The sequence below is a fragment of the Homo sapiens genome, chromosome 2, assembly GCF_000001405.40.
Source record: "Homo sapiens chromosome 2, GRCh38.p14 Primary Assembly".
Classification (NCBI taxonomy): Eukaryota; Metazoa; Chordata; class Mammalia; order Primates; family Hominidae; genus Homo; species Homo sapiens.
Window position 1 is genome coordinate 189,082,984 of NC_000002.12, and position 22,049 is coordinate 189,105,032.

General features: G+C 34.2%; 1 protein-coding gene across 4 annotated transcripts in view; it reads right to left on the minus strand.

Moving 5' to 3' along the window:
• COL5A2 (collagen type V alpha 2 chain) overlaps nucleotides 1-22,049 on the minus strand; it is a 409,214-nt gene that overhangs the window by 51,086 nt on the left and 336,079 nt on the right. For all 4 annotated transcript variants that reach the window (XM_047443252.1, XM_011510573.4, XM_047443251.1 and 1 more), the window contains 10 exons: nucleotides 21,281-21,294; nucleotides 17,124-17,156; nucleotides 15,744-15,776; nucleotides 14,294-14,347; nucleotides 9,327-9,437; nucleotides 5,712-5,789; nucleotides 3,743-3,787; nucleotides 2,736-2,789; nucleotides 2,177-2,230; nucleotides 1,001-1,054 (listed from right to left, as the gene is read on the minus strand). In XM_047443252.1, coding sequence (XP_047299208.1) covers nucleotides 1,001-1,054; nucleotides 2,177-2,230; nucleotides 2,736-2,789; nucleotides 3,743-3,787; nucleotides 5,712-5,789; nucleotides 9,327-9,437; nucleotides 14,294-14,347; nucleotides 15,744-15,776; nucleotides 17,124-17,156; nucleotides 21,281-21,294 — 530 coding nt within the window. The remainder of the gene's footprint in view (nucleotides 1-1,000; nucleotides 1,055-2,176; nucleotides 2,231-2,735; nucleotides 2,790-3,742; nucleotides 3,788-5,711; nucleotides 5,790-9,326; nucleotides 9,438-14,293; nucleotides 14,348-15,743; nucleotides 15,777-17,123; nucleotides 17,157-21,280; nucleotides 21,295-22,049) is intronic.

A 22,049-nucleotide genomic window follows, 5' to 3' on the forward strand; every position in this document is an offset into this window, starting at 1 on the left:
CTTAAAAGATAAGGGAGCATTCATTTGTTTAAAACATTTCCTAGCATTGAACCTCATCAATTTTCAGAAAGTAAACAGAAAGTAATGTGGTACTGTTGATTGTACTGAGTGGCAGAAACATAAGGAAATTATAGGAAATATAATAAATGGGAGAGTGAATGTTTAGGGGCTGTTGAGCAGGAGAAACCCAAGAAGTAGGAATGTTTGAAGAGGACTTTTGCTTGCTTATCATACTCTAATTTTCCCCATGGCCAGCGTAACACATTCTAGAAGAGGGCCTAGCAAAGCAATTTGAGTGACAAGAGACAGGTGGGTTCAGAGAACGGCAAAGGGGCCAGGTCTTGGATTCTGGTGGAGTAGTTGCCAGGAGTCTATTCTTTTAGGGAGCCAAAGGGGAAGAAAACAGCTATGTTAGGAGAGCTGGAAATCAGTGTAAATTGTCATGATTTTAGGACCCAGAACATTAATCAAGAATTTCAGCCAAAATTAGGGTTTGGGGAGCAGCCAAAGAAGCATCCCATCCATAATTTACTGTCTCTAGTTGATAAAAAACAAGGCAACAAGCTTTTCTTCAAGCTATTATTTAGACATATGTGACAATATAAAGTAAAAATATTAAAAAGATTTTAAAGAGCTAAAATAGGATTGAAGTGTGAATTGTAAACAGGTCAAGCTGGTAACTCATTTTATGAAAAAAAAAAAACTATTTTTTTCTGAATTTTCTGAGGATTTGAAACTCAGTTTGGAGAGCATTCATGTTATGTTCAATATACTTCTCTAGCTCCAGAAGGCTTATTTATGGTGCCAATGCAAAGCAGACAACTGGAGTTAACAATCACTCTGGCAAAACGTCCTGTGACATTTTACATTTTTACGGAAACAAACAATGCTGTTTGTCTCCATTTACTTAGTGCCTGATACATGTGCATACAGAGAATTGTGATTTAATTCAATGTTCTTTATTTTTCAAAGTTTGCCTTTATGTTGAGTATAAACTTACCGGAGATCCTGCAAATCCCACTTCACCAGGATTTCCATTTCTGCCAGGTTCACCCTTTATGGAAAAAAATGTAGGAGATTGGGAAGGCAAAAGTGATTAAAAGGTTCTTCTCTGAAACTAAATGATAAATAAATTACTAATAAAACAGTCTTCTTTAGAAAGCTAATGTACAATTCTCTAAACAGTGCAAAAAATAAAGTAAAAATAGGCTCTATTCCTTATATTCCTGATAGTACTCCATTCTATCAAGTTAGTCTGTGGCTTTCATTAATTTACCCAGAAGAATAAATTGTTGAAAATTTTCTTGGTCTGATGTAGCTCACTATTTTATGAACATCAAAATTTATACACATAAACATACATGTATGCTATAGGATATATACTATAGAATTCTATATGATCACATGACACTGAATTAAAGTATTGCTTCTTAAAATACTACTTTCCATTTCTTTCCTGTGGTTAAAAAGAAAAGACTATCAGAAATATGTGCTCTATGTCCAAATTCAATGTAACCTGTTTAAATAAATCTTATGACTCATAAAGAGAAAATATTTATTAATACTTGGTTTAGTATCATATAGAAATTAATGGCCTACCCATAATTTGATCCTCAACTTTGGTACAACTAAGAATCTAGAAATGTAAGTCTGCTATTGCACACTGTTCTCTGATTACATGTTCTTAATGTTAAAATCTGGAGTTGGGTCTTAACTTTAATTAAAAATCCAATTGAAGAAATCATTTTTTCATCATTGGGGAGCCATATTGGCACTATACTACTAACACGTTTTAAAAATTCCTTTTAAATAAGACCTCATAATGATGTATTGCCATCAGAGCAACATATTTTTTCTTTCAGGTAATTTCAGTGGTTCCACTAGGAAAAGTTGTTGCTACTGTGACAACAAGCCTAGCATCTAATGGAGAAATCTTAACAAAAACCCAGGGAATTCAGGAAGAGACAGTAGTACCTAATAACATAATACTACGCAAATTAAGAGCCCTTTTAGATATTTGTAAAATTCCATTCTGAGTGCTCCTGTTTACATTGAATTTAATGCAAGCTAAAAGGGTGGGGAAATGTAATGGAAATTAATACAGAACATTCTTGTTAACATTTTAACCCCTTCGCCTCTTCAAAACCTGAATGGAAAATGAGGAAAGGTAGCTTACATCTTCCCCAGGTTTACCAGGAGGGCCCTCTGGTCCACGTGAACCAATCGGACCCTAATAACAGAACAAAACAAAAGGAAAAAAAGAATATTTACCTTTACTTGCCAGTAATACAATTCAAAACATTATTGAGACAAATGAAATGTCAAACTATTATTGAAACAAATGAAAATGATAAATATTGTTGAGACAGAGAAAATAGTTTTATTAAAGTTTTGAATTTTATGTTGCATCCCCAGATCATGTGCTCAACAAGAAGTATAATTGCACAAAAGCAAATCGCTCAGCACTGTCTAATGATCATAATCTTTGAATGTAAATATTCTTTGAATTTTTAAATTTAAATTTAAATAAATAAATTTAAATAGTCTTTGAATTTAAATATTCTGCTATGAGAAACATATAGCTTAAGAACAGTTCATAGAACAGGACTCCCAAACTGGATTGTTATTTCTTCCTACATTAGGGAGGACCTGGGAAGATAAATAACTCAATATTTGACATCATTATAATGGTGGACCCAAATGTAACTGGGTCTACATGCTTACTTGACATTTACCATTGGTCCAGGATCACCAGGTTCACCAGGAGGTCCTGTAGGTCCTGCACCACCCTACAGTTGAAAACAAAGTATATATACAAACCAAGGAAAAATAGAATATTAAACCCTGTACTCTGTCAATATACAGTGTAATTGTTTAGACAGTTGGCTCTGCCATCTTCCAGCTGTGTGACTTTGGGCAAGTTACTTAATCTGTCTGTAACTGTTTCCTAATGTGTAAAATCAGAATAATATTGGTACTTACTTTATTAGGCTGTTATGGCTGCTGAAGTAATTAATGTATGTTAAGAACCTAGAATAGTGCTGGCACAGTGTGTGAGTGCTCCATCAATGGTAGTTCTCCTCATCAACATCATCATCATCACCATCATCAACCACATTTTCTAGTCACTGATAGCTTGAAGTAAAACTCCACACACATGACAATGACAATGTGGTAACCTTGACTGAACTAAAGGTTATTTTCATTCTTTCTTTTAAAATATTATTTCCTGATGCCTGTTAAATTGCTATAATAAATAAAAATAGTTCTACATCACTATTTTACTGGCATCTGATAGGCATTTTAAAAGCATATTGTATTATATTCTTCCTAAAGATCCCATGGAACAAACATCTTGATTCTTATTTCTAATAATACTACACGGGGATTGCCTCCTATGATCTGATTTCATAGCTTCAGAGTTGGCATATAACCAATTGTGAACATTTTCATGACATAACATAATGAATTTCTTACTTCAGATGCAAAGTCATGTAATTTTGTTATCGAAGGTCAGTCACATAAAGAAATCAGATGATAAAAATTTATCCCAATAAACTTTGCAAAGACATGTGGCATATATTTCTAAATAAAAACTATTTAATATATCCTGTTTGAAGTGAGCATTACAATATAAAATTTTAAAACCAGCCAAAAGCAGTCATGTCACAGAGACCTTATGTAATATATGTGTGTGTGTATGTTTTTCTTACAGCATGTAATTAATTATAAAGAGACTTACTTGCTGTCCTTGTAAACCCTGTGGTCCCCTTGGGCCAACAGGACCCTTAAAAACAAATGAGGAGAAACGTTGCAAAGTACTCATGACAATTAGGTCAAATATTTCAAAAATGTTGAATCATCTCTAGAATCTGGAAAAGTGAAGTTTTGACAAAGGGGGATGATGACATTCTCCATCTGTACTCATTTGGAAGGCAGCTAAATTCAAGGAGATTAAAGCTTGGACAACATTTGGGATGATTTTATACATAACTTCAGTGTTATAAAGAGAAATGAGCCATATGTCTGTACACACCCAATGTCTTTAGAACAAGAACACTTGCATGTTTAATGGATGGTTCTGTTAAGTAAGAACATCCGAATAAAGAAAAATCTTGGCTGACATAAGTTAGTTCTCAAACTTCCTATTTAATTCTTCAGATTCACAGCAGATAATTCTTATAACTTAAATAAGTTGAATTAAAGGTTTATGAAACATCAACAATAATGACTAGATTATATTAAATGTGAGTTGAAAACGATTTGGGGCACTGAGTTTCCTGGGTGATTTCTTTCTTTCACAACATAGATTGAAACTATCCACACAGGCTTTCCTCATTTAAACATGAAATCGTTCCACTGAGGCATAACAAAAGGAAGAAAACAAAAATGCGATTTTAGAACATTTATTATTATATGTATATTACTATTTTTTAAATATCATACTTTAAAAAGTAAAATAAATTAAAATCAAATTTATTCTTTTTGGATTTTTTTTTAGACGGAGTCTCCCTCTGTCACCCAGGCTGGAGTGCAGTGGCGCGACCTGGGCTCACTGCAAGCTCCACCTCCCGGGTTCACGCCTCAGCCTCCCAAGTAGCTGGGACTACAGGCACCTGCCACCATGCCCGGCTAATTGTTTTGTATTTTTTTTTTTTTTTTTTTAGTAGGGACAGGGTTTCATCGTGTTAGCCAGAATGGTCTCAATCTCCTGACCTTGTGATCCGTCTGCCATGGCCTCCCAAAGTGCTGGGAGAACAGGCGTGAGCCACCGTGCCTGGCCAAAATCAAATTTATTCTTATGGCAAGATTTTAATTTTTTATTTTGAATGGAACATATAGTAAGAAAAGCTCCATTTAAAAAAAACCACACATATGTAATTTAAACTCCAAATGGATAAAAACATGCAACTCAAAAAAAAGTTCCCAAAAGAATCACTAAATGATGCCATATTACTAGTAACTTTAAAAATATACAAATAATATTTAAAATGCTCACAACGCTGGCCTTAAGGATGGATAGAAGGGGTGGTTATCTATGAGGTCTGATTTTGCACTTCTTATTGCCTGAAATGCTATTAACCTGGAATTATTTTGAACTATGCTATGAGCAATAAAACATGGGAGAGTTGGTTTTAAAAGTGTTAATTTATTCAATAAAATTGGATTGCTCCAAATATCCAGGAAAAAAATGGGAGTCTTTCTGATGTTGAAGAAATTCAAAAGAGGGTAAGAATATTGAGAAGACTCAGCCAGGAAACCATAGAGCTGTTGGAATAAGGCAGCCAGAGGATATTAAGTAGAAAATAATAAAAATGAAAATAGCAAAACATCTCATTTCAAAATTTTACCAAACCACTGTTTCTAAGAGCACCATAAAATAGTTCTGCTTTTTATTTATAAAGGTTTAGGTTTTACTATTGTGGCTGTGGTTATATGTCTTAAACTCCTTTATTTTCTTCCAATATTAAATAAAATGTACAGATAGACCTTTATTAATGTCAGCACTTTGCATAATTATGAATGAAACACACTGGGCTTTTAACTGGCATACAGTAGAGTAAATAAGTTAATTAAATGAATGAATGAATGAATGTACGACTGTGTTTAAGAAGATGCATGTTATTCTTTGACTAGTTAACTCAAGATTCTCTTTTTAAAATAATTTTTTTCACTGAAGTACTTCAATGATCAGTAAAATTTATGCTTACCACAGAGCCAGGCATTAGTCCTACTTGACTCCCAAGTCCAGATTTTTCATCCAACCCAGCCATTTGAGCTGAAAACGGCTGTAAAAGCGATATGTTGACATTATTTCTACAGTAAAAGACATACATCAACGTCCTTTTCATATGGATAAATGTACACTCTCTAGAATTCTTATAGAATGACTCTTCTGAGAATCATTCTAAGTGCTTGACTTTAAAGCCTGGAAAAAGACTTAAGTTGCTTTGATTGTTTGTGCTTTTTATTGACCATTCTTTCCCAGAGTATTGTATAAGTATGTTGCTCCAGAGCAGTTTCTGAAACAGGGCAAATGTCTGATACTTGATAAAAGCATGGATTGTTCTGATAAGCACTAGCCAGTCTAATTGATTGCAGGTTTAAGTCTCTTTAACTGATTTCTTCCCACAGTTAGAGATGCCAAACATCTAAACAAAGCCTAAAAGATGCCTTTAAAACATTTGTCCTAAAGATTCCAGATTCCATTTTGGACTGTTTTTGGATGATATTCTTTCTTTGTTCAATGCCCAGTAAACTTTAAATTACATTTATGTAAGTTGATAACACTTTTATAGTCCTTTTAATGAATCCCTGAATGTTCCAAGTTTGGAAACAGTTTGACCTACTCTCTTTCACAATTAAAAAACCCTAGTAATCAAACTGACCAAAATTGTTCATATACATTTTAGTAGTCACATTAGTTTCCAAATTTTGTTAGGAAAGAATGTGTGTACTGTTTATAAATAAATTGGCAATTTATTCTACAATCTGTTGAGAAAAATGTGTATGAACTTTTGTAAAGCAAAAATCATATTCAGGCTTCATATGTTTCCTTGTTAAGGTCTCAATCTACAGGCATGCCTCATTTTACTGTGCTTTACCAATATTATGTTTATTACAAATTCAAGTCTTATGGCAACCCTGCACCAAGCAAGACAACCGGTGCCATGTTTGCAATAGCATGTGTTCACTCTGTGTCTCTGTGTCACACTTTGGTAGTTCTCATAATACTTTAATATTATTATTGTTCTTATTATATCTGTTATGATGATCTGTGTTCAGTGATCTTGATGTTACTAAAGTAGTTGTTTTAGGTGCCTTGAATGATGCCCATACAAGACAATAAACTTGATCAATAAATATTGTGTGTGTTGTTCTACCAACCGGGTGTTCCCCATCTCTCTTCCTCTCCATGGGCCTCCTTATTCCCTGAGACACAACAACATTAAAATTAGGTCAATTAATAACCCAACAATGGCCTCTAAATGTTCAAGTGAAAGAAAGAGTCTCACATCTCTCACTTTACATTGTAAGCTAGAAATGGTCTAGTAAGGAAGGCATATTGAAACCCAAGATAGGCCAAAGCTAGACCTCTTGCAGCAAACAGTCATCCAACTTATGAATGCAAAGGAAAAGTTCTTAAAAAATTAGAAGCACTACTTCAGTAAACACACAAATAATAAGAAAGTAAAACAGCCTTAATGCTAATATGGAGAAAGGTTTAGTAGTCTGGATAGAAGATCAAACCAACCACAACATTATCTTACCCAAAATCGAATCTAGAGCAAGGCCCTAACCCTCTTCAATTCTGTGAAGGCTGAAAGAAGCAAGGAAGTGGCAGAAGAAAAGTTGGAAGCTAGAAAATGTTGGTTTATGAGGTTAAAGGAAAGAAGCCATCTCCATAATATAAAAATGCAAAGTGAAGCAGCAAATGCTGATGTAGACACTGCAGCAAGTTATCCAGAAGATCAAGTTAGCATCATTGATGAACGTGGCTACACTCAACAATAGACTTTCAATGTACACAAAACAGCCTTCTGTTGGAAGAAGATGCCATCTAGGACTTTCATGTTTAGAGAGAAAAAGTCCATGCCTGGCTTCAAAGCTTCCAAGAACAGGCTTATTCTCTTGTTAGGGGTTAATGCAGCTGGAGACTTTAAGCTAAGACCAGTGTTTATTTCTTATTATGGAAATCCTAGCATCCTTAGGAATTATGATAAAACAACTCTGCCTGTACCCTATAAATGGAACAACAAGGCCTGGATAACAGCACATCTGTTTACAGCCTTTACAGCATTGTTTACTGAATATTTCAAGCCCACTATTGAGACCTATTGCTCAGAAACAAAGGATTCCTTTCAAAATATTACTGCTCAGTGACAATGCACTAGGTCACATAAGAGTTCTGATGGAGATATACAAGGATATTAATGTTGTTTTCATGCCTGCTAATACAAAAACCATTTTGCAGCCCATGGATATAAATAAATTTCAACTTTTAAATCTTATTACTTAAGAATATAATGTTCAAAGTAAATTGAGAATCTTCTGGAAAGGATTTATCATTCTAGGTGCCATTAAGAACATTCTTAATTGATTGGTGAAAATATAAGCCTCAAGAGAAGTTTGGAAGAAGTTGATTCCAACCTTCATGAATGAATTTTAGTGGCTGAAGACTGCATTGGGGGAAGTAATTGCAGATATGATGGCAATAGCAACAGAACTAGAATTATAAGTAGAGCCTGAAGATGTTGCTTAATTACTGTAATCTCATAATAAAACTTTAACAGATGAGGACTTGCTTCTTATGAATGAGCAAAGAAAGTCGTTTCTCAAGATGCAGTCTATTCCTGGTGAAGATACTGTGAAGATTGTTGAAATGACAACAAAGGATTTTGATATGGCAAACTTCATTGTTGTCTTATTTTTTAAATTACCATAGCAATTCCAGGCTTCAGCAATACCACCCTTATTAGTCAGCAACTATCAGCATCAAAGCAAAACACCCTATCAGCAAAAAGATTATGGCTTGCTGAAAGGTCAGATGATTATTAGCAATTTTTAACAATAAGGTATTTTTAATAAAGAAATATACCTTGTTTTTTAGACATAATGCTATTACACACTTTATAACAGACTATATTGTGGAAAAACATAAGTTTATATGCACTGGGAAACAAAAAAAAATTCACATAACTCACTTTACTGCAGTATTTCACTTTATTGAGGTGGTTTGGAACTGAACCCACAATATCTCCATGGTTTGCCTGTACTTATAAATCCCCTATGTCTGACATTAACAATTCAAAGAAGTCGGTATTGAAAGGCTTTTTGTTTGACTTTACTTCAAGTAAAAAAACTAAAATTGAAGAAATAATTAGGTGTCATTTTTAGTGTCAACTCAATGGCCTTCTCATATCCCTCATCATGGATGTGTCATCCTCTCTTGTGGAGGATACGGAGCAGATTTTTTTGGCATTCTGAGCCTAGAGAATAGGACAGATAAATCTCTCATTTCATTTAAAGAGGGGGAAAGCAGTGGTTCTTTAGAATCAATAGAAAAAACAAAGCACATAGAGTCTAGAGCTGACATTGAGAAATACAAACAATTTGAAGCAGTACTTTAGAAAATACTTCTTCCAATTTTTCCAACAATTCCCTGTGGGTTTATTAGTTCTACTGTCCATAGCAGTGTTGACCTTATTTAACTGCTCTTACAGTCAAGTGTCAATATCTGAACAGACACAATTTAAAATCCTAACAATATATCAATAATTTAAAACATGACCTGTACGTGACATCAAACAATGCACACAACTCACCCTGCTCAAGCCATCGGGTCCTGGGTGGGACGGATGTCCAGGAGGTCCTGGAGCACCAGGTTGACCAGGAACACCTGGTTCTCCATCAATTCCCTGAGGTCCACGAGGGCCCTGGAAAACAAGCCAGTTAAAATTAGAACCCACTGCCAAATATACACTTAGTAGAAAGCTAAAGGCACAGACTTCTTAATGGCAAGGGAGTGTTTATTATTTTAAAAATACATGGCAATCTAGCCACTTAGAGTAATTTCATCAGCCATGTCACTACTGATTTCAGCATAGGTCTGAACTTCTACCATTCGGATGTGGTCTGGGTAAGAATTTTATGTGGTGTGTTAAATACCCAGAAATCAGCATTCTTAGAATAATTATTTTTAAAATTTTCAGTTCAACAGTATTCTAAAGTGAACTTCCTTATTTGATTGAGTTTTTGCCGTGCAAGGGTATTTGATCAACAATTATAAATTCACTTGTCTGTCACTGAAATTACAGTGGATTGTCATTGGATTACAGTTAACTATGTATACGTCTGCTTAACTTCTCCCTTCCCCCCAAAATTCAAGAATCCCTTGATTGGAGTTTGTAGAGATTTTCTGTCTAATTGTTTAATGCTTTGCATAGTTCCTGGTACATACTAGACACTCAATACATGCATATTATATTGTTACCTTTCAGTCCTCTTTAATACTTTAAAGCCTGGCACACTTTATTTTACTTCCCACCCCCAGAGGAAGACTAGACCATTGAGAAATTAGAGGCAAAGGCACTGTGACCCAGCCAAGTCTAAGTTCTCAGAGAAGTGAGCAATGATTTCTAGCTGCCAAATTCCACCCTTCTCCTAACCCACATTCTGAAGGCAGCTTGGGGAACAGCCACGTCCTCAGTTCTGGAAATGCTCCGTCCTCTAACCTCATCATTCCCACAAGGCTAGTTAAGTATTTTCTGGCTCCTTAACCCTAAAGAATCTTGAAAGGCTTCAAAAAGAAAGGACCAAAAAGTCATCAGGCAATATGCTTTTTATAATTATAAGCAGGGATCAAGGGAAATATGGTAAATGAAGTTTAATAGTTAAAAAAAGAACTCCCATGCTTAAACATGAGAATACCTATGGGACCACAGTAAGCAATTCAAATAGGAGCTGATAGTGCAGAGGGAGCAAACACAGGACAAGCTCAGGTGGTGGAGGTGGCAGTTTGTATATGATGGTTTTGGGGAGGGTGGCATCATAGCTATTCAGAAATTTAATTATTTTAATATATTTAAACATTTATATAGACATATTTACTTCTTGCAGTAGTGGGACAAACAAGCAAATTTATCTATTAAATAGAAGTAGAATACTTAGCCTGAAAAACTTATATTTAAAAATGATATCTTAGAAAATTATTCTCAGTTTTTAAAAATCAAAACTTTTCTGACTCCTAAACTACTAACAATTTACTTCACACTTCATTATACACAACAGAGGCTGATTTCAATTGTTCTCTAGGACTCCTGGATCATATGAATGAGAGTAACATGAACTGGATATGTATATGACAGCACAGACAAAATAATAGTCTGGTTTATTCATACAGCCTTGTGTAGAAAACTCTGATTCTGTTCTTGCAATGCTCAGTTGCTAATTAATAACCAGATATTATTACATACAAAAAGTGAACTAATGCATAATCTCTGCTCCCAATGAGAGTTCCAAAGAGACATACACAAAACTATATTTATTGTCAACAGGAGTGGAGATAAGTTTGAGAAATATTCATTAGTCCTCCAAAGAGATTGTGACTTTCTCCATTCTTCTGTAATTAACACTTCGTATTTCAAAGTCTGATCCTAAGATTGTTTTCATTGACTTCAGATTCATTATATGTCTCCACGGAATGCCCTCTAAATAGCTTATGAAATTTACTGTTGCACAGATTAAGATTAAAATTAATAAAAACGTCTATAAAAATTATCTAAAATTAAGTGAACACAAGAATGTTTACCGGTAAATATCAAAAGCAAATTAGAATTTGGGAGCTCATTAAAAGTATCTATTTTTATATCTCCAAGTGAGCTGAATTACATAATTCTTATATTAAGGTAAATGTTACATTTATTATCATTCCCTTCCATTTCCAAGATACTCAAATACCTCCGCAGTAATCTACAATAAAAAAGTACTTTGAGGTTGCCACTAGGTGGCGATGTTTAAACATCCACAAGTAGAAAAGACGAATGACCGGGAACTGTTAAAGAACTTCATTTCTCTCGTTTCTCTCTCTCTCTCTTTCTCTCTGACACACACACACACACACACACACACACACACACACACACACACACACACACACACACATAAATGTTATAGATGTTAAGATCTAGTATATTTCCCATTTTACAGATCAAGAAACATACCAATAGTGGTTAAGTGTCATGTGCAACTAGAACTTAGCACATCATTGACGGTCCATCTCCTGACAGTTTGCTAGCTTGTCACTATGAAGTTATCTGAACAATACACTTAAAACTGAGGACGTGTGATGAGAGACAGTCATGAAAATCATTGGCTAATCCTGAAGGTCTTGTAGGAGTATCTCATACTGAACTACTGACATACTAGTTCTCAGTCCAGAGCTATTTTGCCTGGATTTGGCAATGTCAAGAAACATTTTTAACTGTCACAATTGTATGGGGGATGGCAGTTTCAACTGGCATCTAGTGGGTAGATACCAGGAATGCCGCAAAACTTCCTACAATGCATATGGAATTATTTGGCCTAACATATCAATAGTGTTAACAGTGAGAAACCATGCTGTACATTGTGAGCCTTCCGTACTGTTTGATGGTAATATAATGGTGGGGGTGGGGGAATGCTATTTATGATATTGTGACAGCCATAATTTTAGTCCAGCTAAGCAGCTCCCAGAAGGCTTGAGACATGAGGCAAAACATTCTACCTATGGGCATTCTGTTACATCATGCCCATCATTTCATATACATCATTTCATGCAAAGCTATACATCATTTCATATCTTGAAATCGGTGTAGGCAGGCATTAAAAGATTTGTTAAACACTTACCATCACACCAGTTCTTTGCTAGGATTAAGAGAGGAACAGATTTCCTACTTGGATATCTGCCAGGGTTGTCTCACTTGATTCCTCCTAAAAATCTACCCCCCTTTCTCCCTCTCTCTCTCTCGCTCTTTCATACACACACACACAAACACACACACACAACACGCACACACTTATACCCAATTCACATTGATTGTCTCAGGCCTAACCAAGACAGGAAATTGACCACATCACAAAGTCAAATAGGGAAAATAAGTGAGAAGGGTTGGGGAGTAGATTCTTTGGATCTTAACCAGGAACTCTGGAAGTCTGGTCCTACAACAACTTCTACCTAGACTTAGGACCCAATGTTATCAATTACTTACAGTGTACAAATACACCAATGCAAAATCTTTTTTTTTTTTTCTGTCACGACCACCCATCCTCCACCCAACTGATGTTATTTTCTACCTATTTCTGTCTTTCTAGATCTAGGAGAGACATCTGGAGACCTACAGCAGTGTTTAAGCTACCAACACTAGTGAGAAAACTCAATACAACCACAGTGAAGAATGGGGCATATAATAATCTGGACACACCCCAAGATATGGCCAATCTCTTGGGGCACTGCTTTGCACCTACATGCCTGCAAGTAACATCCATAGTGCAGCCCCGTTTAAGAAAAAGTACTGACATCACACTATATATGAGGTGAAATGAGTAGAAGGATAATGTAGTAACAAGAATGAAACTAGTGGCAAGAGTTCCTAGGCATATGATCTAAAATATATTTTATCCTCATTTATATATTCAAACTTGTCTGCTGTTTGCTTATCTTCTAATCCTCCCATTTAAATATGGATAAATATATATTTAAAAGGATAAAAATCTACTGAGAGTTTTAATAGATACATTAGAGAAAAAATTAAACAGTACAAACAAAATTTTCTAATTGAAACATGGGATAATGGGAGCAATATACAAATGAATACAGTTATTTAGTATATGAAAGACATTAGATTTTAGAAGTGATACATAAGAAAAAACGTTGTAGGGAGGCCGAGGCGGGCGGATCACATCCTGGCTAACACGGTGAAAACTCGTCTCTACTAAAAAATACAAAAAATTAGCTGGGCATGGTGGCGGGCAACTGTAGTCCCAGCTACTCGGGAGGCTGAGGCAGGAGAATGGCGTGAACCAGGGAGGCGGAGCTTGCAGTGAGCCGAGATCACACCACTGCACTCCAGCCTGGGTGACAGAGCGAGACTCCGTCTCAAAAAAAAAAAAAAAAAGAAAAAAAAAGTTGTAACTCTAACACTTGAGAACAATATGTATTCTGTGCAGATAGGTAATAAAAGAAAACCTTTGGTATATATTATATAATATCCTCATGTTTTATCTCAAAGATATTGAGGTCACTATTTTATTGTAAAGGTATTTCACTTGTCTAGTAATGGGATTGCTGATTTTTAAAACTACTCCTTTGCTATCTCTGCAGTGGCTGCTGAGTGAAAAAGGCGGAGTGCTACCTGGGAAATAAACTTGTTGTGCAACCACTTGAAAGAAAATTTTATCCTCTAACAATTTTTTCCCGTATCCAGCTTGGTTATTCCTGTGGCAACCACAGATCATATAACTTGGATGTTTTATCTCAACAGTGCATTCTTGGCATTGCTTACTCATGAGTGAAACTCATGACATGTTAACTATGCTTCCTTAAGTTCTACTTTATTTTGATTTGACCTCATAAGGGACAAGGAAATATCATTTGTGTTATCTAATAAGATAATATACAATTATTATTGTATTTTTGTAAAATTTAATGGAGGTGAAAGAGGAATAGTGCTCCCAGCTTCTTGCTGCATTCAGAGAACACAGTGTAAACTGACTGGCTGTACGTTCCCCACAAGGAGCCCTCCTGTCAACTTACAGGTCTTCCTTTTGGCCCTCGCTCTCCTCTTGGTCCCTGTGATCCTGGAGGTCCCTAAAACAGAAAATGATGATTATGCATGCAAAAATGTATACTTTCTTATTGAATTTTTAAAAGTCTACTTGATAAAAGAAAATTGGAAAACAGAAATACCACACTTAATTCAGTTCAGTTGAAGACTATAGAGAATAAAGCCATGTGCATATAAAAGTTCTGTACGCTTAGAAGCGTTGTTTATGTTATCAGTGACATTTAAAGACCTATGAAGAACTAGGTGCACATTATGGCATCATGGAGCATAGTGAGCTAAATAGATTAGCTTGACTAGTAATTGCAAATTTTTAAGGATCATATTTGCTGTCTTCTCCCAGGTAAAGCCTTTGCCACTAAACTCTGAGCACAAAAACTTACAATTCTGATTTTGAAAATTACATAAATGTGCAAAATACAAATTATCAATTATTCCAGGGACTGTATGAAATCAAATTGGTACATGATACCCCAAAATGTTCATCACTGTTCAAGTTGCTGATAAAAGCAATGGAAAGGAAAGCCTCTTAGCCTACTACAGTACTGCTTTATGTACACTCAAGCATCTTTTCTTTTTACTTTACTTAGAATATTGCATTACTTCCCTTGTATGTTTAAAACCCACTTAGAAATTTCCAAATCTTAATTACAGTTACTTTTCCCTTAAATAACAAATGACTATTATATTTCAAAAGTGGTGTTATTGTGCTGATATCTTAAAATGTTTTTCCCCCCCTGGGAAATGGCTGTTGCCAGGGGGACTTTGTTTCTCTTTAAAAGAGGATTTAAACTGAGTTATGAAGATTATATTGTGTATTTACTCAACCCAACATATAGCATCGTTTAAAAGTGAGGGCTTCAGAAGAACCAGAGTGAGTCCATTAAAGCTAACTTAGTATTTTAAGCTGATTTGATGTGTTTAACATTTACATGAAGTGTGTGTATATGTTATGAATACTGCTGATAATCCAAACTTGAAAAAATTAATCTTTTATACTAAGCCATAAATATGCTCTCCTGCTGTATGATTTCTCAAATTCTACTGCAATATATAATTTTATTAAGCAGATAAAACTAGCCTACCATTAATCATAGTCAAACAACACACAAGTATGCCCTAATTTCAGTGAACAAAGTCACACTAAAATTAACAAATGTAACAATAAAGTGTTTTGTCTTTTACATAACCAATAGCAAGACTAACATAATGTTTCTTCAGTTTCAGAATAAAATGATCCCTTATCTACCATTCATTGCTGCAAAGCAATGTCTAACTTGAAGATGGTTTAAGACAAAATGTTTTAAGAGACCAAGTATCATTGTTTAATTCTTTTATCTTCTCATGGATATAATATCTGTAAAGATTTTCAGTATCTCAAGGAATACAAGAGTACCAAGAATATTGGGAGAAACTACTTACTGCCGGTCCTGGACGACCACGTATGCCTGTTACCTAAACAATAAACAAGAAAATTTGTAAAGGTAAAGTTTCTGCAGATATTCAGAGAGGTCAATAGTAACAAATAAGAATAACAACAAAAACCACAGTAATTTTTTTAACAAATGGATGTTGTCAATTGATGACCATTTCCTCCTCTCCTTAAGATTTAAGATATTATCTAGTTTTAACTAATATAGGGAGGCAGTGCTGGCGTAATGATAAAGAGCACCAACACTGGAGCCAAGGGGCCTGGGTTCAAATCCCGACACTACCCTTTACCAGATGTGTGACTTTGGACTAATTACTTATCCTCTCTGTTCTTAAGGATCTTAAGTGGAAACTTAAATGTAAAATGGTAGTGATGATTAGGTAATTACCTCCCTCATAGAGTTATGAAGACAAATAAATAAATATTTGTATTTGTAAAGCACTTAACACCTAAGACATAGTAAGCACACATAAATGCTTTTTAAAATTAAATAAAACAATATGAATTATTTAAGTTTTAGGTAATCTTCGTTAAAAAAACAAGCCAATTAAAGGCAAATAGAGAATGTAAACACTGCTAAATAAATCAACATGCATATTCTTTTTGTCTTGACAGACTGATGATAACACCTTTAAAACTTAGGAGAATGAGGCCAAGGTGGGTGGATCACTTGAGGTCAGGAGTTGAAGACCAGCCCGGCCAAACTGGTGAAACCCCGTCTTTACTAAAAATACAAAATTTAGCCAGGCATGGTGGCTCTTGCCTGTAGTCCCAGCTGCTCGGGAGGCTGAGGCACAAGAATCACTTGAATCTGGGAGGTGGAGGTTGCAGTGAACTGAGATTGTGCCACTGCACTCCAGCCTGGGTAACAGAGCGAGACTCTGTTTCAAAAAAATAAAAATAAAAAATAATGAAACCTGACAGAACGACAGTTGAAGAGCTTTAATCCTGTTTAGTAACATACTTCTTGATCCATTTACAAGTTTAAAGAAGTCTTAGGAATTCTTATGCAACAGGGAATTTTGCTCAGGATCAGGGCATGATGTATTTCCAGAAGTGTGGAATAATAAACTACTATACTAACTAGTACTAATATTAACTATCAGTGTATATCCACATGTAATATATTTAACTTTTTAAAACAATGACTTTCTACCTTTAGTCATGGGACTATAAAAGTCAGGAACACAGAATATCAAATATTGTATTAAATAACTAATCTGTTCTGGTTTGCTTGTGTTATACTAAAAACTTGTTTTTAAAATAACTAATTTATTTTTGAAAGTATGTACATAAGCAATAATATACAATTATACTATAAGCTAAGTTTATTTAAGGTACAAGGAAACAATGATTATACATATACTTACAACAGGCACTAATCCTGGTTCTCCCTTTTGTCCCTGTGACATTAAAAACAATTCAAAAATTCAATTAGCACAATATAATGGCTTGCTGGGCAAAAACATGTCACCCTAGAATATGCCATGTAAACACAGGGAATTTCTATGTAAGAAATGCAAAAAACTACAAAAAGAAAGTTAACAATTTTTAGGATATTTAGTCAGATATTACTCATTAAAATATTACTGCTCACCTGAAAGACATAAAAAAATCCAGCGTGTGAAATATGTAAAGCTATTTTGCTTCAGTTTCCACATAGATCAAATCCAAAGAGTTGACTAGAGCACAAAATAGTTGCAACAAAAAGATGTAAAGACAAAGCACCAGAGGAAAAACTACTGAAAGACTGAAAACACAAAAAGAGCCAGAAATTGTAATACATAAAAATTAATATAAATTAATATATACAAATTTTCACACTTTTATCATATGACACATAGTTTTCAGGATCTAATCAGATGCCATTCCTGAACTACTAGCACCCTTTTTTAGTACTCATGGAAGGGCATTAAAAATGAGTACATGTGCTCATCTTTAATAAAAAGAAAGAAAAAAATAATAATTCCACTCAGATGATTCTCAATACCTGAAGAAAATCTAGGAAAAAAAATCAATTGACTAAGAAAATCAAAAACAACATAAGAAACTATCATGTAAGTAAATAGGGTCAGGTCAATATAATTGCTTTTATAATAGATATAGCAAATGTAATAGATGTAGATAGAATTTATTTTGTTTCTTAGAACTTTTCTCAGAAATGGAATCCTCATTGCATGATATCAGGTACATAGATTAAATAATATTGGATGAATTGTAGCTTTATCTATTTCTACTTAATCATTTACTAATTTGTATTCTTCATTTCAAAATTTGTCTTCGAACAGATTTTGGTCTCCTCAAAGTCATGGTTGTGTCTTAGTCTACTTCACATGCTCAGCATAGCAAATGGAAGCATTCAATGAATTTTTAAAATGTATTACTTTCCATTAATATATTAAGAAATAATGCTTTTTACTGGGCAATTGTGTAGGATGAATATGAATTTAACATCTCTAAAATGTAGAAAAACACAAGAAGAATGAGTTCTAGTTTATTTTATTTCTCCTTTCATATATATTATCCTTTAATCTGATTATAAAAATACTATGTGTTCATAGCAGGAAATTTTGAAAATAGAAGAAATATTTTTTAAAAAACCCTAAATATCCTACTCAACACCCCGGAGATAACCACTGTTAATATGCTGGCATTCTTAGTTTTCCACCATCTACATGCACTTTGAGTATCTAATCAATGCCTCATTATCTTACTCTTAAATTTTGTTTTCATTTTTAAGTTTAAGAATGACATTAAAATGAATATCTTTGTTTATAAATGTGTCCATGGTATCTCTGATTAATACCTTATGATATGTTTTTAGAAGTTAAATTTGTGGACTAAAGACATTTTAAGTTTTTAACCCATATCACCAAATTGTACTACTAAAGATACAATCTACTTATATCCTTCCAATACTATCCTGACAAAACTTCATGAAGTGAAATGATGGACTTAAGGGCGGAACTAATAATAACTCAGTCACAGTTGCTGATTCTAATGTTGAAGCAGCGAATACTCTGGAAGTAAGGAATAAATTGAGAATCCAAAAGAAGGAAAGGGCTCTCCAGAAGCAGGAGGCAGTTCTATAGGGTAAGTTCAAGATTGAAACACTAGGGACTAATAGCCAACCTACACAAAGCCTAGGACAAGAAAGAATCAACATATATGGGCTTCAAAGTAAAATAGGCTTATTTCTGCATGTTCACATCCACTAACTTCTAGAGTCTTTCTATTTTAAAAAATACAAAAATAATAAAATTTAACCATGTAAGAGCTATAATAAAAGATATTTTTCAAAATGCTGAAAGAATTTGAATTGTTTAGAAAGGGTACATAAATTTTTGTGCAATAAACAAAGGACTTTATGATGCTGAAACAATGCTCCTTCTAGAGGAAGACTAGAAGAACAAATAAAAAGAGAGGACAAATTGTTTCAGTCAGAATGAGAAAAATGGAACAGCCTGCTAAGAATAGTTGTGAAATTTCCATCCTAAGAGACCTACAAGCAAAATGCACTTTATACTTGCTTTATATGTAGGGGAATAGAACTCTCTGATACCTGTCTTACCTAAATTGTAGGCTTTTTGATATATGACTGTTCTGTTGCTGCACAATATTTAAAAGGGGTTAAGTGTTCAATTATAAGTTTCTAATAATAAATTCCCTAATGATTCTATAGATTTCTTATTTTGGATATAAGCCACAAATGTAAATATTTGTTTCTATTGTTTGTATTAATATAGGCTTTGAATAAGTTAATTTGTATGGAATAATGGTCTGTCTAAAGTTTTACTAAATTTAATTTTCATATCCACTGAGAAACATAAAGTTCATGTACTCAGATCCAGATGTGCATTACAATTACTTATCATTTAATACCATGTGGACATGCTTTGTAGAATGTCATTACCATGGAAGCAGTTATAGTGTTTTTCTCACATTTGCATCATCTATACCATTTGCCTCATAGCCATATAAAAAAGGTTCAGTAATTATGTTGGAGTTAACATGAATTAATGAATGAATCAATCGGTCAATGAGTTGTAAGTAAATATCAAAGTGGATATAAACGAAGAACAAATTGCATTTTTATAACATTGCTTTGCTCTTGTGTTTCTGATGATACCTGATGACAAATGAAAACAAGTCATGAAGATAGTGGCACATAACCACAGTCTGCTACATTGGCAGCTGCTTTGAGTATATTCTTCACCCAGCTCTCCCACACTACTTTTGGAGAAAGGCAGCAAATGACACAGCCTACCAGTTATCTCTCTAAGTCGGGTAACTGCTAACTGAATTAAAATGATTATTTCATGGCAGTACTCATTGTTAGGATTTTTTGTTGTTTCATAGATTGGTCTGTCTCTCTATCTGTCTATCCATGCATCCATGCATCCATCCATCTATCTTTCACCTATCTGTCAAGTTTGTTCAAGGCCTATACCAATCTGCTAAGTTTCAATTTATTTTCGTTTTCACAATAAATTAAATGTGAAATAGCATTTGCAGCCCTTCTCCTTTGACATATATTCATATCTAATTTATTCCAAATGAGACAAATTTATGATATTGCCCTCTGAATCAAAATGTGTAAAACTGGCCAGGATCTCCCCTTGATAGCATCACTCTTACTTATCATGAATGTGTAGCATTGCTTTATCTGTTATCTGATAAATCATTTTATTAAAGTTCCACTGTGTGCAAAAGTAAAGAAAATTTATGGAAATTGGGACCAGCAACAGTTTCTACTGCCTTGATCCCTGTGCCCATCTCATTTGGATACAACTGAAGTAAATGCCATAATTTTCAAGATAACCAAAAAACAGAGAGCACTCTTGGGCAAAAAGAACTATCTTCGCTTCGTAGGATTACCTTATTGATGGCAAGTGACCAAGCTGACCAGCTATACTCGGGTCATGGATGCAGCCTACCCTGTTTTCAAGTGTAAAGCTTGTGTCCAGAATTAGATTTTAAGCTCTCTGAAGGTGAAGGAGGGGAGAGGAGGGGAAGAAATGTCTGTTTGGTAAAATGTTCAATTAATTCTGGATCTTTACTTCCCAACCAATGAGAGAGGGGCTACAGGCCCATTGAAGTCAAATTGACATTCTTCGTTCCTTCCTTCCTTCCTCCCTCACTTTCTTCCTTCCTCCTTCCCTTCCTCCTATCTTTTCTTTCTTCCATCAAATGTGTATTGTACTTCTAATATGTGCAAAGTATGTACTATGCAATGACAAATGCAAAGAATAAAAGGTTAATCAGACATTTTCAATCCCTAAAGATGTCACAACTTTCTGGCAGAAACAGATATACAAACAGAAATTAACCATAAAGTGAATGGTTAAGAGGCATCTGTCCTTTGGAAACACAGTAGCTGAACTGTGCTTATATACTTGTCACAATGTATTTGTATGGTACTTTGTACTTTTCAAAAGCTTTCAAACGTTTCAGAGCACAGTTCTGTGTGGATAGTATTGGATATAAGTCTGCTTATGAAAAAGAAAATATGCAAAGTAACACTTACCTTTCTTCCTCTACCTGTAAAAAGAAAAGAGTAAATGTGTTATTTTATGAGGAAACAATTATTGAGAATCTGCTAAATATTTACTTTCAATAATAGATTTCTTCTGGAGTCAGAATTACAGTGATAGTGATTACACTATCAGCAGTAAGCAGAATTCAAAAGGTTTTGGATCAATACTTCCATAAAAGGCAAAAAATGCATCTTTTTGGAAAATTCTAACATGATATTAATATTCTTCACAACATTTATATGACATTTAAAGTTCATTAAATTATTAAATTAGCTATTAAAGCTATAATGAATTATCTTTCATCAATATTCTCCATTTTTGCTTTTTATAATTTTATGAGCAAGGCTGTTTATTCATATGGTTCAAAAGCAAAAATGTATTAAAAGTATACAATTATACACTAAAAAATGTCATTCCATCTGGTCCTGTGTTCCCTATTTCCACTTTACCCCCACCCCCACAGGAGGCCACTATTATTGGTTTCTCGTATGTTGTTCTCAAGTTTAGTTTGGAATATTTAAGAAAATTATTACAGACTCATTTTTCTACTTTTTCCATACTGTTCTTCACTTGTCTGTATATCACATAGTTCATTAAATCTTACAGATCTTTGCTCATCAGTATATAGTTTCTTTATTGTTTTTCTTAATTTTTTTATAAGATTCCACTGTATTAATCTAACACAATCTATTTAACTAATTTTGACCTTTACCCATTAGGGACATTTGGATTGTTTCTAATCTTTTGTTATCACTAGGA